The sequence below is a fragment of the Homo sapiens genome, chromosome 22 (assembly GCF_000001405.40).
Source record: "Homo sapiens chromosome 22, GRCh38.p14 Primary Assembly".
Taxonomy (NCBI): Eukaryota; Metazoa; Chordata; class Mammalia; order Primates; family Hominidae; genus Homo; species Homo sapiens.
The window spans coordinates 46,737,250-46,755,335 of record NC_000022.11 but is presented as its reverse complement, the minus strand read 5'-3'; the positions used below and the strand labels follow the sequence as shown (position 1 = coordinate 46,755,335).

The 18,086-nt window shown below is 57.5% G+C and overlaps 1 protein-coding gene across 1 annotated transcript in view, besides 5 other annotated features; it reads left to right on the top strand.

Annotated features, from left to right (window-relative positions):
* Positions 1,010-1,186: a silencer, noted in NCBI's record as "fragment chr22:47150047-47150223 (GRCh37/hg19 assembly coordinates)". NCBI's record gives its function as "represses an EF-1alpha promoter that drives an FKBP-Casp9 reporter gene in an ReSE screen in HepG2 liver carcinoma cells {active_cell/tissue: HepG2}" and the evidence as "EXISTENCE:reporter gene assay evidence [ECO:0000049][PMID:32094911]".
* Positions 15,945-16,603: an enhancer, noted in NCBI's record as "H3K4me1 hESC enhancer chr22:47134630-47135288 (GRCh37/hg19 assembly coordinates)". NCBI's record gives its function as "activates a minimal SCP1, AML or CMV promoter by ChIP-STARR-seq in primed H9 embryonic stem cells {active_cell/tissue: H9 hESC(primed)}" and the evidence as "EXISTENCE:reporter gene assay evidence [ECO:0000049][PMID:30033119]".
* Positions 16,242-16,571: an enhancer, noted in NCBI's record as "active region_19249". NCBI's record gives its function as "activates an Ori minimal core promoter by ATAC-STARR-seq in GM12878 lymphoblastoid cells {active_cell/tissue: GM12878}" and the evidence as "EXISTENCE:reporter gene assay evidence [ECO:0000049][PMID:35858748]".
* Positions 16,732-17,691: a silencer, noted in NCBI's record as "silent region_13916". NCBI's record gives its function as "represses an Ori minimal core promoter by ATAC-STARR-seq in GM12878 lymphoblastoid cells {active_cell/tissue: GM12878}" and the evidence as "EXISTENCE:reporter gene assay evidence [ECO:0000049][PMID:35858748]".
* CERK (ceramide kinase) overlaps positions 17,084-18,086 on the top strand; it is a 53,843-nt gene continuing 52,840 nt past the window's right edge. Inside the window, exon 1 of the mRNA NM_022766.6 lies at positions 17,084-17,329. Coding sequence (NP_073603.2) covers positions 17,188-17,329 — 142 coding nt within the window. The 5' untranslated portion in view covers positions 17,084-17,187. The remainder of the gene's footprint in view (positions 17,330-18,086) is intronic.
* Positions 17,842-18,011: an enhancer, noted in NCBI's record as "active region_19248". NCBI's record gives its function as "activates an Ori minimal core promoter by ATAC-STARR-seq in GM12878 lymphoblastoid cells {active_cell/tissue: GM12878}" and the evidence as "EXISTENCE:reporter gene assay evidence [ECO:0000049][PMID:35858748]".

Sequence of the window (18,086 nt, the reverse complement as noted above, 5' to 3'; positions counted from 1 at the left end):
AAAAAGAAAAAAAAAATTAAAAAGACACCCCCACCCCCCAAAAATTGATCAATTATTTTCACATCCAGGAAAAACAACAAATGCAAATCCAAATGCTTTGAAGAATAAGACTGATTTTCGGAGGCTTTCAGGGTAGACAGAGGAGGGCCATTATGCCACGGCTCATGCAAACAAGCCTCCTAAATGCACCCTGGAGATGCATCGCACCCTTCACAGCCACCATCAGCCCCTTCCATCACCTTTGATCCTCTGCCATGCTCCTGCAGACCTCCTGCCCAGACCTCACCTGCAGGCCTCTCAGTCCCTTTCCCGTGTGCATCTGCAACCCTCTCCACCTCTCAAGCTCAGCAAATTCCAGCATCCTCAGCATCCTCCTCATCCCCCCTCACCAGATGCCCAGCGGTGGGGAGGGAGGGGGTGGCAGTGGGGGTGGGGAGGGGATGGCGCACACAGTGGGTATCATGATTTGTATTTTAAAGATGAGAAAGTAGGGGCTTCAAGAGGCAAAGTCCCCCAGCTAGAGTGAAGGGAACAGGGTTTGGAGTCCAGCTGCTGACCCCACAGCCCACTCACTGTCCAGTTCACCTTGCCGGGCCCTGGCCACAGTCCCACTGCTAATCGGAAACACAACCAGCTGTGGCATTTCCTCCCATGGTCCTTTGCAGCACGTGGTCCCCACCCCCTTGGCAAACGTGCAGGAGCCACAGTCGGCCGTGACTCATGGACAGTCCAACCCAAAGTGACTCAGGCAGGATAGAGAGAGGACAGCAGACATCAGAGGGAGCCCAGACTGGCCGTCTGCAAGCTGCATCCTGGCCTCATGTCTCCTGTGACTGATCACACTCTGCTGTAAACACGGCCAGCCCCCGTTTTCCCACCTGTAAAATGGAGATGAGGACACCTGCCCTGTGTGTTTCCCAGAGTCATGATGGGAATCCCCTGAGACAAAGGACTGGAAGGCAGTTTGTAAACCAAAATCTCTGAGCAAATATGACACCGCAGAGTAGGGAGTGAGTCTGTAAGTGACGTGAAGCCTGGCCTGGAGTGGCAACCGGAAGGCCCTATGGCCCCATGGTGCTGTGTCATCCCTGGACTTCCCGCAGCTGCTAGAGTGAAGGAAGGAGCTGGTCTGTCACTTAACACCAGAAGAGAAAGTGGCCCGGAGAGCAGGCATCTCCCAGATATCTGACTGGGCCAGATATCTGACTGCTAGGAACTGGGGACACAGACCTGGGAACTCTGTGCCCTTATGACATCAGAGCCTGGCGGCCAGGATGGAAAGTGTGTTGCGGCCCCAGCCTGAATGGCACTTTTGGGTGGACATAGACCCAGAGGTGCATGGCGTGGGGAGGCTGGCACTAAAGGGCCTGCCCATGTGGCATCCCAGGCATGGACATCCTGAGGGTGAGGGGAGAAGGCAGGCAAGGTGCTGGCACCACACTTCTGCTGGGATTGTGCACGGTTTGGCATCCTGGTTCCAAGCTGAGCCCCCTGCAGTTGCAGAAGGCCACTTTGGTGGGGAGGGGACACTCCTGGGTTCTGGTGGCATGGCCTGCCTGGCACAGTGTGGCACTGGATGGAAAGAGAGACTGGGGGGAGTGGTCTCTTATTTTGAGACACTGCAAACACCTCGTTTCTCTGGGCCTCAATCCTAAGAGCCTGCGGGTCAGGCCGAGTGGTAAGGTGGATGAACCCCTGACTTTGGAACCAGACAGACATGGATTTCAATCCTGCTGTGCAAATCTGGGCAGCCTTCTCAGCTGAGCCTGTTTCCTCACCTGCTGGCAGAGGGCTCAATGCAATCGGGCATGAACCTGGGCACATGACAGAATCCAGCCAGGGCTAACTGCTGTTTATAGTACTGACGCTTAGCGATCCAAACAAAAATAAAATTCAGGAATCTGGCCCTGTAGGGTCTGTACTGGCCACTCGGCATCATCCTCCCACTTCCTGACCACCTTCGGATGACACTGGTTCTTCCAAAGGAGGGATGGTGGCTGCCCACCCAGGTGTCCTGGGGACACTGCAAGGGGTGGGGAGACATGCCATTCTGGAGGAGTTAAGCTCGCTGGCAATGGATCCAAAGGCAGCCCCTCCCCCCTACTCCCCTACGCAAGGGACCAAGCCACAGCTGGCATGAAGTGATGCCCTATGGCACCTTCCAAGGAACTCCTGCCACATCTCCATCCCCTCTGTCACTGTGGAGAAGGACCCATCCTCACTGAAGCAGAGGCTCCCAGGGGCGTGGGGCAGGACTTGCGGGAAGCAAGAGCGGGGCCTGGGGATGGGGGTGGGGGAGGCATGGGACCCAGTGTTGGGCCCAGGGGCGCTAGGGGCCTGAGGGGCAGGGGGCAGGGCTAGAGGGGTGAGGGGCTGTGCTAAGCCAGGGAGCCCTCAAGGGCCACACGTTGGTGTGGTAACCCCTGTGTGTATCTGCTGGAGCAGGCTCAGTCCTCTGGTTACCCCGGCTTCCCACACCCCTCTCCCTTCACACGTTTTGACCCCTAGGCAGCGTCTCCACTTGGGAAGGCCCAAGGCCCAAACTTAAAGTGTTCCTGGTGCCTGACCCCAAGTCTCTTGTTTTAGGATTGGGGAAACTGAGGTCCCGAGAAGCAAGGCATTTGTGGTGTTTTGCAGGGGGAGATCCCCTGGTCTCTCCTCTTTCCATCCAGTGCCACACTGTGCCAAGCAGGCTGTGCCAGCAGAACCCAGGAGCATTCCCTCCCCATCAGAGTGGCCCCTCTACAACTGCAGGGGGCTCAGCTTGGAGCCAGGACCTCCCATGTCTCCTGGTGGGGAAGGTGAGAGCAGCCTTCCCGAGGGAAAAACGCCTGGCCCTAGCCCATGTGGACCTCCAGGACGCCGGGACCTTCCCACGGGAGGGGCAGTGCTGTGCAGGCCACCCGCCCTTGCCACAGCAGTCACTACCATCTCTAGATGGCACAGAGAGAAGCAAGGGCTGCAGCCACCTGCAGCCTTTCACCAAGAATAAGCTGTGGCCAGAACTAATGGGCACATAGGCTGCTTGGAATGGTGCCTGGTCAATAAGAATGCATCCATGTTTGACATGAGATGCCTGCACAGTGTTCTGGGAGCCCCAAGGGAGCCCAGCCTCAGCCGCCTGCAAAGAAATCCCCCAGATCCTTGATCACCACGTCCCTCTTGGTGTCCCTAGCAAAGGGCAGCCATGGAGCCCAAGACCGGACACCTCCCCACTGTGAGTGTCAAGCAATGTGTGGAGGGTGTTGGTCAGCGGAGGACAAAGCCCAGGCCAACTGAGACAGGCAAGAGAGGGGGTCTCCAGCAGGGGGACCATCATCCAGGCACCCTCCCAGCTGCCAGGGCCGGGTCCTCACACCGCCTGCCATGCCTGCTCTGCTCTGTCCTTGGCTCTGCGAGTCCCTGCAGCAGGCTGTGTCCCAAACCAGCACCTCTCCTTCATCCCCATCACTCTGGCTATGGGAATTTCCAGTAGGTCATAGCCCCCCGCCTTCCCCACCGAGCTTCCCGGGGTCCTCACTTGGTCATTGATGACATACTTGGCAAGTGCACTGGATGTAACCTGAGGGAAGTGGGGAGATAGGGCTCCAGGGCCTGGAACCCTCTTGATCCTTCCTGGGCCTTCCCCCAGCTCTGTTGCCAGAAGGCAGAGTCAAGCCAGCGGACTGCAATGGTCTGCAAAGGGTCAGGCCCTCACTGTGGCAGGGGTCATTCCCAAAGGAGGAGGCTTTGCCCCCAGATGGGCCACATTGTTTAGAAATGTTGATGGCAATTCTAGGAAAAGCAGCTCCACTTAGGAGGGCCCAAGGTTCTCGTGTATACTGTTCCCAGTGCGCAGTGTGATTTGGTATGGCGTGGGAAGCAGGGAGCAGGGAAAGTGGCCTGGGTAAGTCCCAGCCCCTCTCTGGGTCTCACCTTCCCCCTGTGTCAGAGGGAGATAACTGCCACTGTCCTGCCCCTCTCCCAGGATTCTTCTAAAGATCAAGGGAGAAGGGAGGGAGCCTGAGGAGGAGAGGAAGGAGGAAGAAGAGCTGGAGAAGGAGGGAGGAGGAAGGAGGAAGCAGGGGAGAGGGAGGCTGAACGGGAGCTGATGACCTTTTGGTTTAAGCCTCAGCGGAGCAGCTGAACCCTGAAGAGGACTCGTGGCTCTTAGCCCAGGATTCATTCCCAGAGCTGTCAGAGCTGGGCGACACCCCCATGTCCTAGCAGGGGCAGCTATCAGGCACCAGGCCAAGGCCAGGGGTGCGTGGCAGACTGGGCACCTGTTGGGGCCTGGTGGAGTGCGTGCCACGCCCTCCCCGCCCTGCCCCATTTCCTCGTTTCCTCGTTCACTCCTGTCAGCCACTGACCCCAGACACTCTTCCATGGCTGCTGGCCTCGGCCATGCCTGGAATTGGACCTGCCAGGCATCCTGCCCATGGCACAGCGGGGCTGTTAGAGCCAAGAGAGGGGGCCCTGGTCCCCTGCTGGCCTCTCCCCATGGCCCTCCCCAATGACTGCTGCCCAGCACCTCCCATCGTAAAACATTCTGCTCAAGAGCCATCAGGGGCTGCCTGTGTCTGTGGGAAACGGCGGACTCCTCACTCTGGTACCCAAGGCCTCTCCAGGTTGGGGGCTCCTCTTTTGCCACTGCCCAGTACTCTGTCCCTCAACACACTCCAGCGTGTCTGTTGCTGGTGCCCTCTGCCTGGGAGCCGTCCCTCACCCTGCACCCTCACTCACTGAAATCACTGCATGCTTTGAGGCCCAGGCAAACACCTCACCCCACGCCCAGCTCCAGACTTCCAGCCCCCAGATTCCAGGGCCTGCTACCTCCTGTGGGCCCCTCCCTGAGTATAAACTGACATTGTCTTTGGGGAACTTGGCCTTTCCCCTCCACTCCCATGGGGAGCTCCTACAGGGCAGAATCACCACCCACACGGGCTCTAGTGGGCACAGACAATGGGCTGGGGAGTGCTAGCAGCTGAAGGATTCAGGGACTTGTTAAGGGACTAGGCGTTGTTTCTCCCATGCAGGAAGATGCCTGAAGCCTCCTTTCCTCATGCCATCCACCCACGGCAGGAGTGCCAGCCTCCTGACGCCCTGCCCCCATGACCCTAGCCCCATACCATGCTGGATGCCACTGGACGCCTGGGAAAGCCCCTGACGCACATCCTGAGAGTTAGTTTCCCCAGAGCTGGCCCACGCCTCTTCTCCCTTCATCCCCTGCAAGGCAGTTACCCCAGAGCTGCCCCACGCCTCTTCTCCCTTCATCTCCGGGGCACCCCTGCGAGTCAGTTTCCCCAGAGCTGCCCCACGCCTCCTCTCCCTTCATCCCCTGCAAGGCAGTTACCCCAGAGCTGCCCCACGCCTCCTCTCCCTTCATCTCTGGGGCACCCCTCTGAGTCACAAGCCTCATATCACCCACTGGAAATCTGGAAATGCCACATGCAGCCAAAGAGCTGGCCAAGGGTCAGTTGGCCCCAATTCCATGTGACATGGACACATCCCAGCCCCCTCTCTGAGCATCACCTTCCCATCTGTAAAATGAGGTAATCAGCACTGTCCTGCATGCCTAGGAGGGTTCTTCTAAAGATCAGATGAGACGATACATGGGAAAGTGCTATAGGGAGATGCAAGTATCCCACAAATGTCTGGGATCCGTATTGAATGGGGGAGAAGGCTGGGTGACTCCACACGCAGCTCTAGGAACTTCTCTGAGACCAGCCTGCAAGACCTGTTGGGTGAGACCTCCAGCACAGAGGTCCTCCGTGAAGGCTTGAGGAATCTGTTTTCACAACCCCTAAGCCTCATTGCACTTCTCCACCGCAATGCACAACACAAAATATTTCCTTCGGGTGACATCCTGCAGCTTGCCCTGCAGACTTCCTGCCCTGGCTGTCAGCCGCCAGCCAGCCCTGATTCGGAGACTGTTTACCCCCGAGTGGATGATGGCAGCCTGGCCAAGGAGCATCCGGTGAACATCTTCCTGTGGATCTGAGTTAACACTGTGACTCGCAGACAGGCCACTTCAGGCTGTTTCTTTACTGGAAGAGGAAGATTAAAGCATGGAACTTTTTTTCCTTCATGAGATAAAGCAAGCTCTGTGTACCTCAAAACTTGGCCCTTCCTCCATGTTGCTCCCAGGGAAGTCACAAAACGTACAGAGAAAGCAGCAGGCAGTCGGCTGTGTCTGTGGGAAACGGCGGACTCAGGATGTGCCCAAGGAGCCTTGGAGTATGAGAGCAGGTGGGCACCTTAGATTCCTGCCTCCAATACTCCCATTTTGTGGGTGGGCAAACTGAGGCCTAGAAACTAGCAATATATTTAAGACAGAGCTAGACTCAGCCCTAGCTCCCCTGACTCCCCAGCCAATGCTGTTTCTGTCACCCCTCCACTCTTGACGGTAAGCAGCCCCCGGTGGGGAGGAAGGAGAGAGGACAGAGGAGATGCTGGGGCGAGAGAGCGGCCACCTTGGGGAGGGAAGGGGGTGAAGGCACAAGCGAAGCAGTGGCCTCTGGGAGGCTCTCCTCTCAGCCCTGGTTCTTGGGAGGCTGTTGCAGGAGCTACAGGGGCAGGTTAGCGGGGCAGTCCCGAGAAAGGCCACCCCACTTCCTACCCCCTAAGCAGTCACTGGCGGCGAAGCCCAGCTGCTTGGTCCCTGACCGCTGAGACCCAGGCTTCCCTTTGAATGTGGGAGGGATTTGGGTGGGGAAGCACGTTCTAGGTCCCATCGTCACCAGGACAGACACTGAGAGACACCTGGCTTCCTACCACCCCCAAGTGTGCTTTCAGGGCAAGCTGGGGGCAGCAATGGGATGGGAATGGCACAAGGTCCCTGGTTGGCCAGTGAAGCAGCCTGACCACAGAGGTCCCTCAGCTCCCTGCCAGGGTTCTCTCCTGGCACCAGGTGCCCACCTATACAAGAGGCCACTCCGTCGAGTGGACGGAGGTAGACACCGGCTCTCAGCAGCAGCGACGTCGTACTGGCTCTGTGCTAGGCTCCATCCGGGCATCTGTCTCTCGGCTGTCCTCTGGGGGCTGTGTCCAGTGAGCGGGTGACCACCCAGGCCCAGGTGCAGAGTGGATTCAGGGCCTGGGCCCCTGACCCTGGCTGGAACAGAGCAAGGCAGGTCCCTACTGTATCCCACTGTGCGTCGAAAGGACCACCTGTATCCAGATCCCCTGAGGAGGGTGTGAAAATTGTGGATTCTCACCCCACCCTGCCTCAAACCCAATGAATCAGCATCTCTGAGGGTCTGTGCCTCCCGGCCCCAAATGCTCTCACCCTTGACAAGTGGACAAGCAAGAAGCAAAACTGGGTGCGTCCCCAAGGAAGTGGGCATCCTCACAACCCTTCCTCTCTGTGGAAGAAGATTGCACGTGGAATTTTCTGTATCCCACAAACATCCCTCTGCGGAGAGGCTGGGGCAGATCCACATGCCCCTGGCTCCTGAGCAGCTGCTAATTGGCGCTGCTGTTCTATTTCTGCTCAGGGTCTAAATGAGGTCACCTCCCAGTGCCACCTGAGATGAGCCCAGCAAGGAGAGCTCAGGGCCCAGGGTGCAGCTGGCCTAGCCCATCCCCGGGGAAGGCTGTACAACCTGGAATCGGGACAACTTGAGCAATCCACCTCCTAAAAGTGACAGGTTTCCCGGGACGTGGGACTTGAAGCACTAAACTAGGAAAGTCCAGCAAACCAGGGGGATTTGGTCACCAGAGGCTAGCCCAGGGATGTCTGGGTGTGTCTCCCACTATGGGGAGTGCATGGCAGTCACAGGAGCCCACTTCCCAGAGCCCCAAAACTCAGACCCAGCAGCTTGGTCCTGCCAGGATGGGAAGGAAGCGTGCAGCATAGGGGATGCAGAGTCCAGCAGGGATCCCCTCTGCCCCTTAGCATCAGCCAGACCCTGAGTGGGGAGTACAGCCCTCCAAGTGCCTCTGGCTGCTGCCTGGGGACAGAAGTCCCTCCAGAGGTAGCCCCTGAGGCTTTCTCCCCAGCCTCAGAGAAACATGATCACTGCCACCACCGACTGAACGCCGACAGTACCCCAGATGCTGGGCTCAACAGTCAGCCAGGGCTGCTCGCTCTGATTTTATGAACTAACATTTAATGAGCCCTTATTATGCCAAGCACTTTGCATTTACGATACTATTTAACCTTCATAACATCCCATGAGGTTGGTTTTAGTATCTTCACTTACAGAGGAAGAAACCAAAGCACAGAGAAATCGAGTGATTTCTGGAAGGCGGAGGTTCTCATGGGGGATTTGGCAATGTCTGGGGAACACTTTGGGTTGTCTCTGGGTGAAGGCCAGAGATGCTACTGCACATCCTGCAGTACACAGGACAGTCCCTGCCACCAAGAGTGATGTGGCTCCAAATGTCCACAGTGCCGTCCTAGGAAACCCTGGCCCAAGATCTCACCGCCTTTCCTCGCAGAGTTTGGACTTGAATCTTGAGCTCTCAGCCACTCTGTTCTGCGATCACTATCCTCGTTTCACGTGTGAGAGAAAACGGAGGCTCCAACAGGTGAGGCGAAGGCTCCCAGCGAGCGCAGGTGGAGCTGGGGCTCCACAGGACCACACCTCCCTCTCTCCACCTTCCCTGGGGTGCTGTGAGCCCTGCTTTCCTCCTGCCTGTCTGGCTGGGCCATCTCAGTTTCCTTCATGGGCTCCACCTGAAGCTGTTCTGTTTCTGCTCAGGGTCTAAATGAGGTCACCTGTTCGCTGCCCTGCCTTTGAGTGTCGGTGGATGACCAGATTACTAATCCCACAGCAGGGCTACTCCAGCAAGTGAACAGAAGCACCAGCAACAATGAAGATATCACAGTAGATAGAGACTAGGATTGTCCCTGATAATCAAGGACATGGGGCTCCCTGGTCCTGGTCCCCTCCCCTCCTTGCTTCAAGCAGATCCACTCCCATCTATTCACCAAGGAATGACCTCCAGACCCCACCACAAAACCCCACAGGCACCGTGGGATGCTCCTTGCTCGTGTTCCCACCCAAATGACAGGCACCCATCCCCCCAGACAAGGCAGAGTACTGGGGGTCATTCTAGACCGTTCCCTCTCACCCCTCATCCTGTCAATCACTGCATCCCATCGTTTCTGCTTTTTGACCACCTTGATCCGAATCCATCTGTTTCCACCCCTGCTGTCATGGCCCATCTGGGATACCCTAATCTCCTGCGTGGGCAGTCACCCTAGAAATTAATCTTTTATTTCAGTAAAGTACATGTAACATAAAATTTACCATTTTCACTATTTTTTAATTTTATTTTTATTTTTTTAAGACGGAGTCTTGCTCTGACGCCCAGGCTGGAGTGCAGTGGCACGATTTTGGCTCACTGCAACCTCCGCCTCCTGAGTTCAAGCAATTCTCCTGCTTCAGCCTCCTGAGTAGCTGGGATTACAGGCGCCCACTACCACACCTGGCTAATTTTTATATTTTTAGTAGAGACGGGGTTTCACCATGTTGGCCAGGCTGGTCTCGAACTCCTGACCTCAGGTGTACATATATAAGAATATACGTGGCCAGGCGCGGTAGCTCACGCCTGTAATCCCAGCACTTCGGGAAGCCGAGGCAGGTGGATCATGAGGTCAGGAGATCGAGACCATCCTGGCTAACACAGTGAAACCCCTTCTCTACTAAAAATACAAAAAAAAATTAGCCAGGCATGGTGGCGGACGCCTGTAGTCCCAGCTACTCAGGAGGCTGAGGCAGGAGAACGGTGTGAACGCAGGAGCCAAACCTTGCAGTGAGCCGAGATCATGCCACTGCACTCCAGCCTGGGCGCCAGAGCGAGACTCCCTCTAAAAAAAAAATAAAATAAAATAAAATAAAATAGTACAACATGGATGAACTGTAAAAACATCCACAGAGATAGAAGGTAGATTAATGGCCGAGGCAGGTGGAAGGGAGGTATAGACAGTGAGGGCTAATGGGTATAGGGTTTCTTTATGGGAATGGAAATGTTCTAAAATTGATTTTAGTGATGGTTGTATTACTTTGTAAATATACTCATCAGCAGTGACCTGTACATTTTAAATGAGTGAATTGTATGTGAATTATATTTGTTTATTTACTTATTTATTTTATTTTATTTATTTATTTATTTTGAGACGCAATCTCGCTCTGTCGCCCAGGCTGGAGTGCAATGGCACGATCTTGGCTCACTGCAACCTCCGCCTCCCGGGTTCAAGCAATTCTCATGCCTAAGCCTCCCAAGTAGCTGGGATTACAGGTGCAGGCCACCACGCCCAGCTAATTTTTGTATTTTTAGTAGAGACAGGGTTTTGCTATGTTGGCCAGGCTGGTCTTGAACTCTTGACCTCAAGAGATCCTCTTGCCTCAACCTCCCAAAGTGCTGGGATTACAAGCGTGAGCTACCGTGCCCGGCCATATTTCAATAAAGCTGTTTTTAACAGAACAAAGCCTGGAGGACAGGACTTGGATATGTGGCCTGGCCTGGCCACCAGTGGTCAGCAACTTTCTCTGGCCCTGTTACCTTGGTCCCTCCCTTCACCAGACTCTCCCCTGCTTTACCACTGACCTGGGGCTGTGGATCCCATGTGGTGACTGCCTACTCCTGCATCCTGGGTGAGCACAGTACCCTGGACTTTGAGCCTTGGGCCTCTGTGCACTAAGGTGTGGTTCCTGGCCTCTGCCCTGGCTGTGCTGGGATCCCAACGCATCTGCCAAGCCCTCCCATGCACGGTTGCATTCGTGTCCATTCCTTTATGGTTTTGTGTCTTTGCTGTTTGGGGCCTGTGAATATACACAATGCTGTTGTGTATTCATCAATCTGTATGACAATATATCTATCATTACCTTTAAAAAAATTTTTTGGCTGGGCGCAGTGGTGCACGCCTGTAATCCCAGCGCTTTGGGAGGCTGAGGCAGGCGGATCACCTGAGGTCAGGAGTTCGAAACTAGCCTGGCCAACATGGCAAAACCCCATCTCTACTAAAAATACAAAAAATTAGCTGGGCGTGGTGGTGGGTGCCTGTAATCCCAGCTACTCGGGAGGCTGAGACAGGAGAATCATTTGAGCCCAGGAGGCAGAGGTTGCAGTGAGCCGAGATTGCGCCACTGCACTCTAGCCTGGGCAACAGAGCAAGACTTTGTCTCAAAAAATAAAAAATTTTTTGTTTATAGACATGCTCATGACACGGCCTCAGAAGGTCCTGACAGCATATGACATATGCCCCTATTGTTGCCTTTTTTTTTGGAGATGGAGTTTTGCTCTTGTCGCCCAGGCTGGAGTGCAATGGCACAATCTCGGCTCACTGCAACTTCCGTCTCCTGGGTTCAAGCGAGGCTCCTGCCTCAGCTTCCTGAGTAGCTGGGATTACAGGCACCCACCACCGTGCCTGGCTAATTTTTTGTATTTTTAGTAGAGACAGAGTTTCACCATGTTGGTCAGGCTGGTCTTGAACTCTTGACCTCAGGTGATCCACCCGCCTCAGCCTCCCAAAGTGCTGGTATTATAGGCATGAGCCGCCACCACACCCTGCTAATTTTTTTGTACTTTTAGTAGAAATGGGGTTTCACCATGTTGGCCAGGCTGGTTTTGAACTCCTGACCTCAGGTGATCTGCCTGCCTAGGCCTAGTAAAGTGCTGGGATTATAGGCATGAGCCACCACGCCAGGCCATCATACCCACCATACCCACTCTTTTTTTTTTTTTTGAGAAGGAGTCTCACTCTGTCTCCCTGGCTGGAGTGCAGTGGCGCCATCTTGGCTCACTGTAAGCTCCGCCTCCTGGGTTCACACCATTCTCCTGCCTCAGCCTCCCGAGTAGCTGGGACTACAGGCACCCGCCACCACACCTGGCTAATTTTTTGTATTTTTAGTAGAGACGGGTTTCACCGTGTTAGCCAGGATGATCTCGATCTCCTGACCTCATGATCCACCTGCCTTGGCCTCCCAAACTGCTGGGATTACAGGTGTGAACCAGTGTGCCCGAACCACACCCTCTCTTTAAGCTGGGGTCAGCACCCTCTGCACATGCCTTCAGGCGGTGTTATTTTCAATTTCAAGGGTTTGTTGGAGCAGGTTTTCTTCTTTTACTCTCAGTGCACCAGGCTCCAAATGTGGCCCCATCCCTCATCCTCTTGTCCCCAGACCTGCCTGCCTCCAGTCCCTGGCTAGCGGGAGTCACTGGTGCCTCCACCTCCCACCCCCTGGCTGAATCAGATCACCTGTCTCCTGGGCATCTTGCTATTTTCTCACTATTTTTTTATAGGCCTCAAATATAAAAAGGCAAACAAGACACACCCAGCAAGCTATTTAGCCTGGCCTTATCAGTCTCAAAATCACAGTTTATGGCACTCCTGAGCACTCATGGCCTCTGGCTGTGTCCTCACAGCCTGCGCTCCAGGTCCCGTCTCCCCAGTGATCTCACTCCACCCGACCAGGGTGTGCAAAAGCCACTCAGCTGGACCCCATGCGGGGTCACAGATGTCACCAGGATGGGGGCTTCTTGGGGTAACTCTTCCCCCAAACTCCCAAGGCTGGACATTGCTGTGCCTCCAGTACCTGGAATGAGTCAAGCCTGCATTGCATCAGTGAGAAATGGACACCTTATTTGAAGACACCAGAAGAGGCAGGTGCACACCCTCCCCTGGGTGCTGGTAAGCTGGCTTGCTCTCAGGGCATTTTCAGCTTGGAGTAGAAACCCCGAACATGGCCAACAGGGTGCAAGGCAGTGAAGAGGGTGGGCTTCAGAGTCTGGCAGTCCTGGGTTCATTCCCAGTTCTGCCCCTGGCCCACTGGATAACCCTGGTTCCTCCAGCCTCTCTGGGACTCAGTTTCCTTATCTGTAGTAGGGTAGTATCACCTTGAGGGTGAAATGTGCTAATGCTAAGCAGAGTGACAGACATCCTGTTGGTGCCTAACAGAGGGAGGTCAGCCGGGCAGGAACCTGCAGGGTTTAGGCCAAAACTAAGCCCAGCCTTTGGAGGCCTCCCCCTGGGTGTGATGTCCCCCTGGCCCTCCAGGGGTGTGAATAGTCCTGATCCCTGGCTGCCTTTGGAACTATCCCAGGCTAGCCTCACCTCCCTAGCCTTTTAGCTTGGTTCCACTGCCCGCTGAGGGCCATCCTCCACTTCAGCCCAGGCTCTAAGTCTGTCTTCTCTAGATGGGCAGGTTGAGGATGGGCAGGGCAGCACCGTCTTCCTGTAAGAGAAGCTGAGGCAGGACAGTCCTGCACGTCCTGGAGGGTGGAACATACTGGCCCGCCCTAGTGCCCAGGGAGCAGGGCCCACAGAGGCTGAAGCCTGGAGCTTGTGTCATCTACAGTTCCCACATTTCAGACTCTCCCACGGCAGGGAGACCCCAAAGCCTGGGACAGGGGAGCCTGGAGTGCCCCTGCAACCCATCTAATTACCTTTCTGTACAACCGGAGCAGGCCAGGTTAGTTTTGTGGGTCTTAGTTTTCACGTCTGTAAAAAGGGGTAAATAATACCCATTTCCAGGGGCGATTGTCTGGATCATGTGGCGAATGTAGGGATGTGTGTTTTGTAATGATCAGCTTACTCTCCAAATATCTGGGCCTCTTGGGGCCCAAGACATTTCTTCCAGACCCTTGAGGAGAAGCCTCGGATTCTCCTTTTTAAGGCAGTCAGCCTTAAAGAGGAGCATGGGAGGCTTCTCCTTGAAGGTGGAGGGCAGAGGATGGCATTCCTGGCAGCCCATGTACAGCTGGTGCCAGGATCCTCCCACCCAACCCAGCATTCTAGTTTCTGATGTCAGATGGTGGTGCTGACTTCACGAGACAGGGAGTCTCGGGAGATAAGCTGGAAGGACTGGCACAGCAAACAAGGCCAGGGGCCCAGGAAGAGAAGGGAAGAATAGATCAGAGGCCATGGCGGGGACCATGTTAGACGGGGCTGCTGGTGCCAGGCTCCTGCTGGTGGCCAGGGCTCCGTGGACAGGAGGGGCCGGGGCCCGTGGTATGGATGACCCAGTGGGTGGGACACTCGTGGGTATGGGGTTGGACCAGCTTAGACAGAACCTCAGGAGCCAGGTGGCCCATGGGTGGGACAACCTGGCCGCCCAGGGGAACGGGTGCTGGCCGCCGCTGGGCAGGATGTCTGGCTTAGCAGGCTCCAGGGCCATCAGGCCACCAGGCAGCAACCCAAGCCTGCAGACTGGACACAAGACAGGGTCAGGTGGCAGGTCAGGGCCTGACTAATTAGGACCAGAACTCCAGGCTGCTGGGGCTGAGCCCATGCTCTCTGGCCTACCTGGCAGCTCAGGGCCCTGTGCAGAGCTGACCAGCCATGTACACAGCAGGCTAGCAACAGGTTGGGGCATCAGTTGTTCTGAAGTGCCACAAGGAGAAGTGAGGCCCTGTGGCAGCCGGGGGTGGAAGTGCCATGCAGTGAGCTATCAGGGGACTCTGTGGCAGAAGAAACAAGATGTGGTTTGAAGGAGAAGGTGAGTGGGGGCCTCCCAGGCAGACGTGTGGGAAGGGCATTTTGGGCAGGGTCTAAGGTGGGAAAGGTGCCTGCCAGGGAAGAGGTGGGTGAGGTACCGGGAGGTCCTCAGGCAGCCAGGGCTGGCCTCGTCTACATTTTCAAAGCTCCTGTGTCCTTCGCAGCCAGCTCCTGAAGGGCCCCCTGGGTCTGACACACAGCAGGGACCTGACGGCTGCTCTGGGGTGGAGCTGCTCTTTCCTCCCATCCCTCCAGTGCTGTGCCCAGAGTCATGGCCCTGGCCCCACACAGGGCCTGACCCCCACCCAACCCCTCTCCCATGCAACTCAACTGCAGGATGTGCATCTTCTGGAAACCTGGGCTTCGTGACATCACCCTGTCTCCCTGAGCATGAGCATGGGGCCCTGCAGTGGCCAGGCCCCTCCCCAGCCCATCCTAGGACTACAGGTCCCCTGGGTCTGCTCAGGCTGCCATAACAAAATATCACGGACTGGATGGCTTCAACAACAGCAATCTGTCGTCTCCCATGAACAGTTGGCAGAGGCTGGAAGTCTGAGGTCAAGGTTCAAGCCCACAGGGTTGGCCTCCTGGAGGTCACTCTCTTTTGTTGCCCCTTCCCATGGCCACCCCTGTGTACACACGCCTCGGGGGTCTGTGTGTGTTCACGTTTCCTCTTCTTTTTTTTTTGAGATGGAGTTTCGCTCTCGTCACCCAGGCTGGAGTGCAATGGCGCAATCTCAGCTCACCTGGGTTCAAGCAATTCTCCTGCCTCAGCTTCCGGAGTAGCTGGGATTCAGGAGCGCACCACTGCACCCAGCTAATTTTTGTATTTTTAGTAGAGACAGGGTTTCACCATGTTGACCAGGATGGTCTCCAATGCCTGACTTCAGGTGATCCACCCGCTTCAGCCTCCCAAAGTGCTGGGATTACAGGTGTGAGCCACAGAGCCCGGTCAACATTTCCTCTTCTTGTAAGGACGCGCTGGATGAGGGCCCACCCTAACAGCCTCATTGAATCTCCTGTGTGTTTTGTAACTGATGTTGCTGTCTCCCCCAACGGAGCTCCTTCGGGGCCTAAGCACTTCTGAGTCGTCTCTGGGCCCCCACCTCTGGCTGCAGGATTTTAAGCCAAGGCGTGCAGCCGGGGGACAGCAACGTGAATACGCCGGGAGGGGCACGGGGAGCCTAAGCACAGGGAGGCCCAGGGAAGGGGTCCCCAGTAGGGACGCTGGTGCTCTCGGGCCCCTGCCCATGCCACCCTTGCCTGCCAACCCTCTTCGCATGCAGCGGCACCCTCCTGCCACTGGCATGAGCTTTTCTTTCCAAGTAAGTTTCAGATCCACATTTCCCAGGCCTCAGAGCGGCAGCTGAGGGAGGGAGGAGGCTGGGCAGGCCTCGCTGCTGCACACCCCACTGTGTGCCACGATCAGGTACTGCCTGCTAGGACTCTGACTGGGCCCACGGTGGCTGCAGGACTGTCCTGGGGCCTTCACTGCATGGCCTGAACAGGGGCTGGGCTCCCAGGGAGGAATGATTCATGGCTGGTTCCCGCCCTATAGACAAGACAGTCACAAGGAGCTGGCAGGGTAAGACCTGTATATGCTGCCACCTGGTGCCAGGCACAGCAGCAAGGCCACGTGGACCTAGCCCACCTCACCTCTGCCTGCAGCAGCAGGGCTGGGTAGGGGAGCCGAGGGGAGGGGCAGGCCTCAGACCTCAGTGTCACATCCAGGCAGTGTCAGTGTGAGCCTAGGCTCTGCCACACTGGAGCCCTGTGCTCTTGGGCAAGTGACTTAACCTCTGTGAGCACAGTCTTCACTGATAAATCAGGGAGGGATGTGCCCTCCGAACCAGGTTGTGGCTGCTTCCTATGGGGCTGTGTTAAGCACTGCGGACGCAGAGACTGGAGCTTGCATGAAGGCGCACGGCGTGCTCTGAAGGCAGGGCTGGAGTCCCTGCAGGCTGGTGATTCCTTCAGCTGTGGGGTCAAGGAGGCCTTCCTGGGGAGGCGGTGAATTGGGGCCACAGGGGCCGTGTCTCTCCAAGTCTGGGGCCCAGGCTCCGGTTCCTAGGGCCAGCTCGGGGGCGGCTGCTCAGCTGTCTGCTCTGTGGCTTCAGGCCCCAGAGCAGTTCAAAGGGCCAGCGCCCCCGCCCCCTAAAAAGACCTCCGCCTCCTGAAAGCCTTACCTGCCTGTCGGGGCCCAGCTGCAGGCCCCCTCCCAGGCCGACAGGACGCCAGGATCGTAGAGGGCACCCGCCGCCCAAGGTCACGTCGCCCGTGGCGCCCCCATCCAGGCCCGCCCCCCGCCGCGCCCGATCGCCAGGACTGCGTTTCCACGCCGCCCGGACCCCGCCTGAACCGAGGCCCGCGCGGAAGGCGCCACTGAGTCCCGGCCGGCCGCGGGAGCGCCAGATTCAGCACCCGGCACCCGCCGGAGAAGAGAGGAGAGAAAGGCAGCCGCCTCCCGGCCCCAGCGCCCTGGCCTCGGCCAGCCCCATCCCGGCCCCTTCCTCCTCCCTCTTCTCCCCTTCTCGGGTCCCCCCGTCTCTCCCTGGCTCCCGGCCCCTCCTCTACCCACGCCTCCTCCTCGCCCCCGCCCCGCCCGTCCCCTCCGCGGTCCCCGCCGCCCGCGTACGGGGTGACGCAGCGCCGCCTCCCGCCGCCCGCCGCCCGCCGCCCGGGCCACTGCAGGGGCCGCTAACGGTCCGGCGCCCCTCGGCGTCCGCGCGCCCCCAGCCTGGCGGACGAGCCCGGCGGCGGAGATGGGGGCGACGGGGGCGGCGGAGCCGCTGCAATCCGTGCTGTGGGTGAAGCAGCAGCGCTGCGCCGTGAGCCTGGAGCCCGCGCGGGCTCTGCTGCGCTGGTGGCGGAGCCCGGGGCCCGGAGCCGGCGCCCCCGGCGCGGGTGAGTGTCGCCGCCGCCCGGGTTCGGCCGGACCTGGCCAGGGAGCGGGGGCGGCTTGGGGGACCCGGCTGGGGGGACCGGGTGCAGGGAGCGAGCGGCTGTGGTAAGGCCGGGGGCCCTGGGAGCGCAGGCGCCAGGGAGGGGTCGGGGCAGGCGGGAGGGAGGCCGGGGCCAGGGGCCGGGCTGTGCGCCGCCGTCTGCTCCGGGAACCCGAGGACAAAGCGCCGCGCAGTGGAGGGGAGGCCGGCGCCCCATCCCCGCGGGGAGGTGGGACCCGGGGCGCGGGGTCGTGGCCCCCGGTGCGGTCTGTCCGCAGGGCACCTCTGGACAAGACGGACTGTGGATGGATCCCGAGGGGGGGTGCCAGGCGCTCCCCACCGCGCGCATTGCAGTTTACTCCAAGAACAGATGCTTTTCTTTAGCAGGGATCCGAAACCTGAGAGGCGCCCTTGCAGGGTGAGGACTTCCTGTTAAGAAGTTAAAGAAGGGGCCCCTGACTTTCTGTGGGGTGTGCTCCCTGCTCGGGATGGGGGAATTGGTTTCCGTGCCACGGGTTGGCTACTTGCCCCGCAGAGGCCCTCCGGATGAGGAGAAGAGTGACTTTGGTAAACATGGAGGACGCATAGCCCACCCTGGAGAGAGCCCTGCAGGAGGACAGAGGGTTTGTTTTTGTTTTTTGTTGTTTTTTGTTTGTTTTTTGTTTTTTTTTTTTTTTGAGTCGGAGTGTTGCTCTGTTGCCCAGGCTGGAGTTCAATGC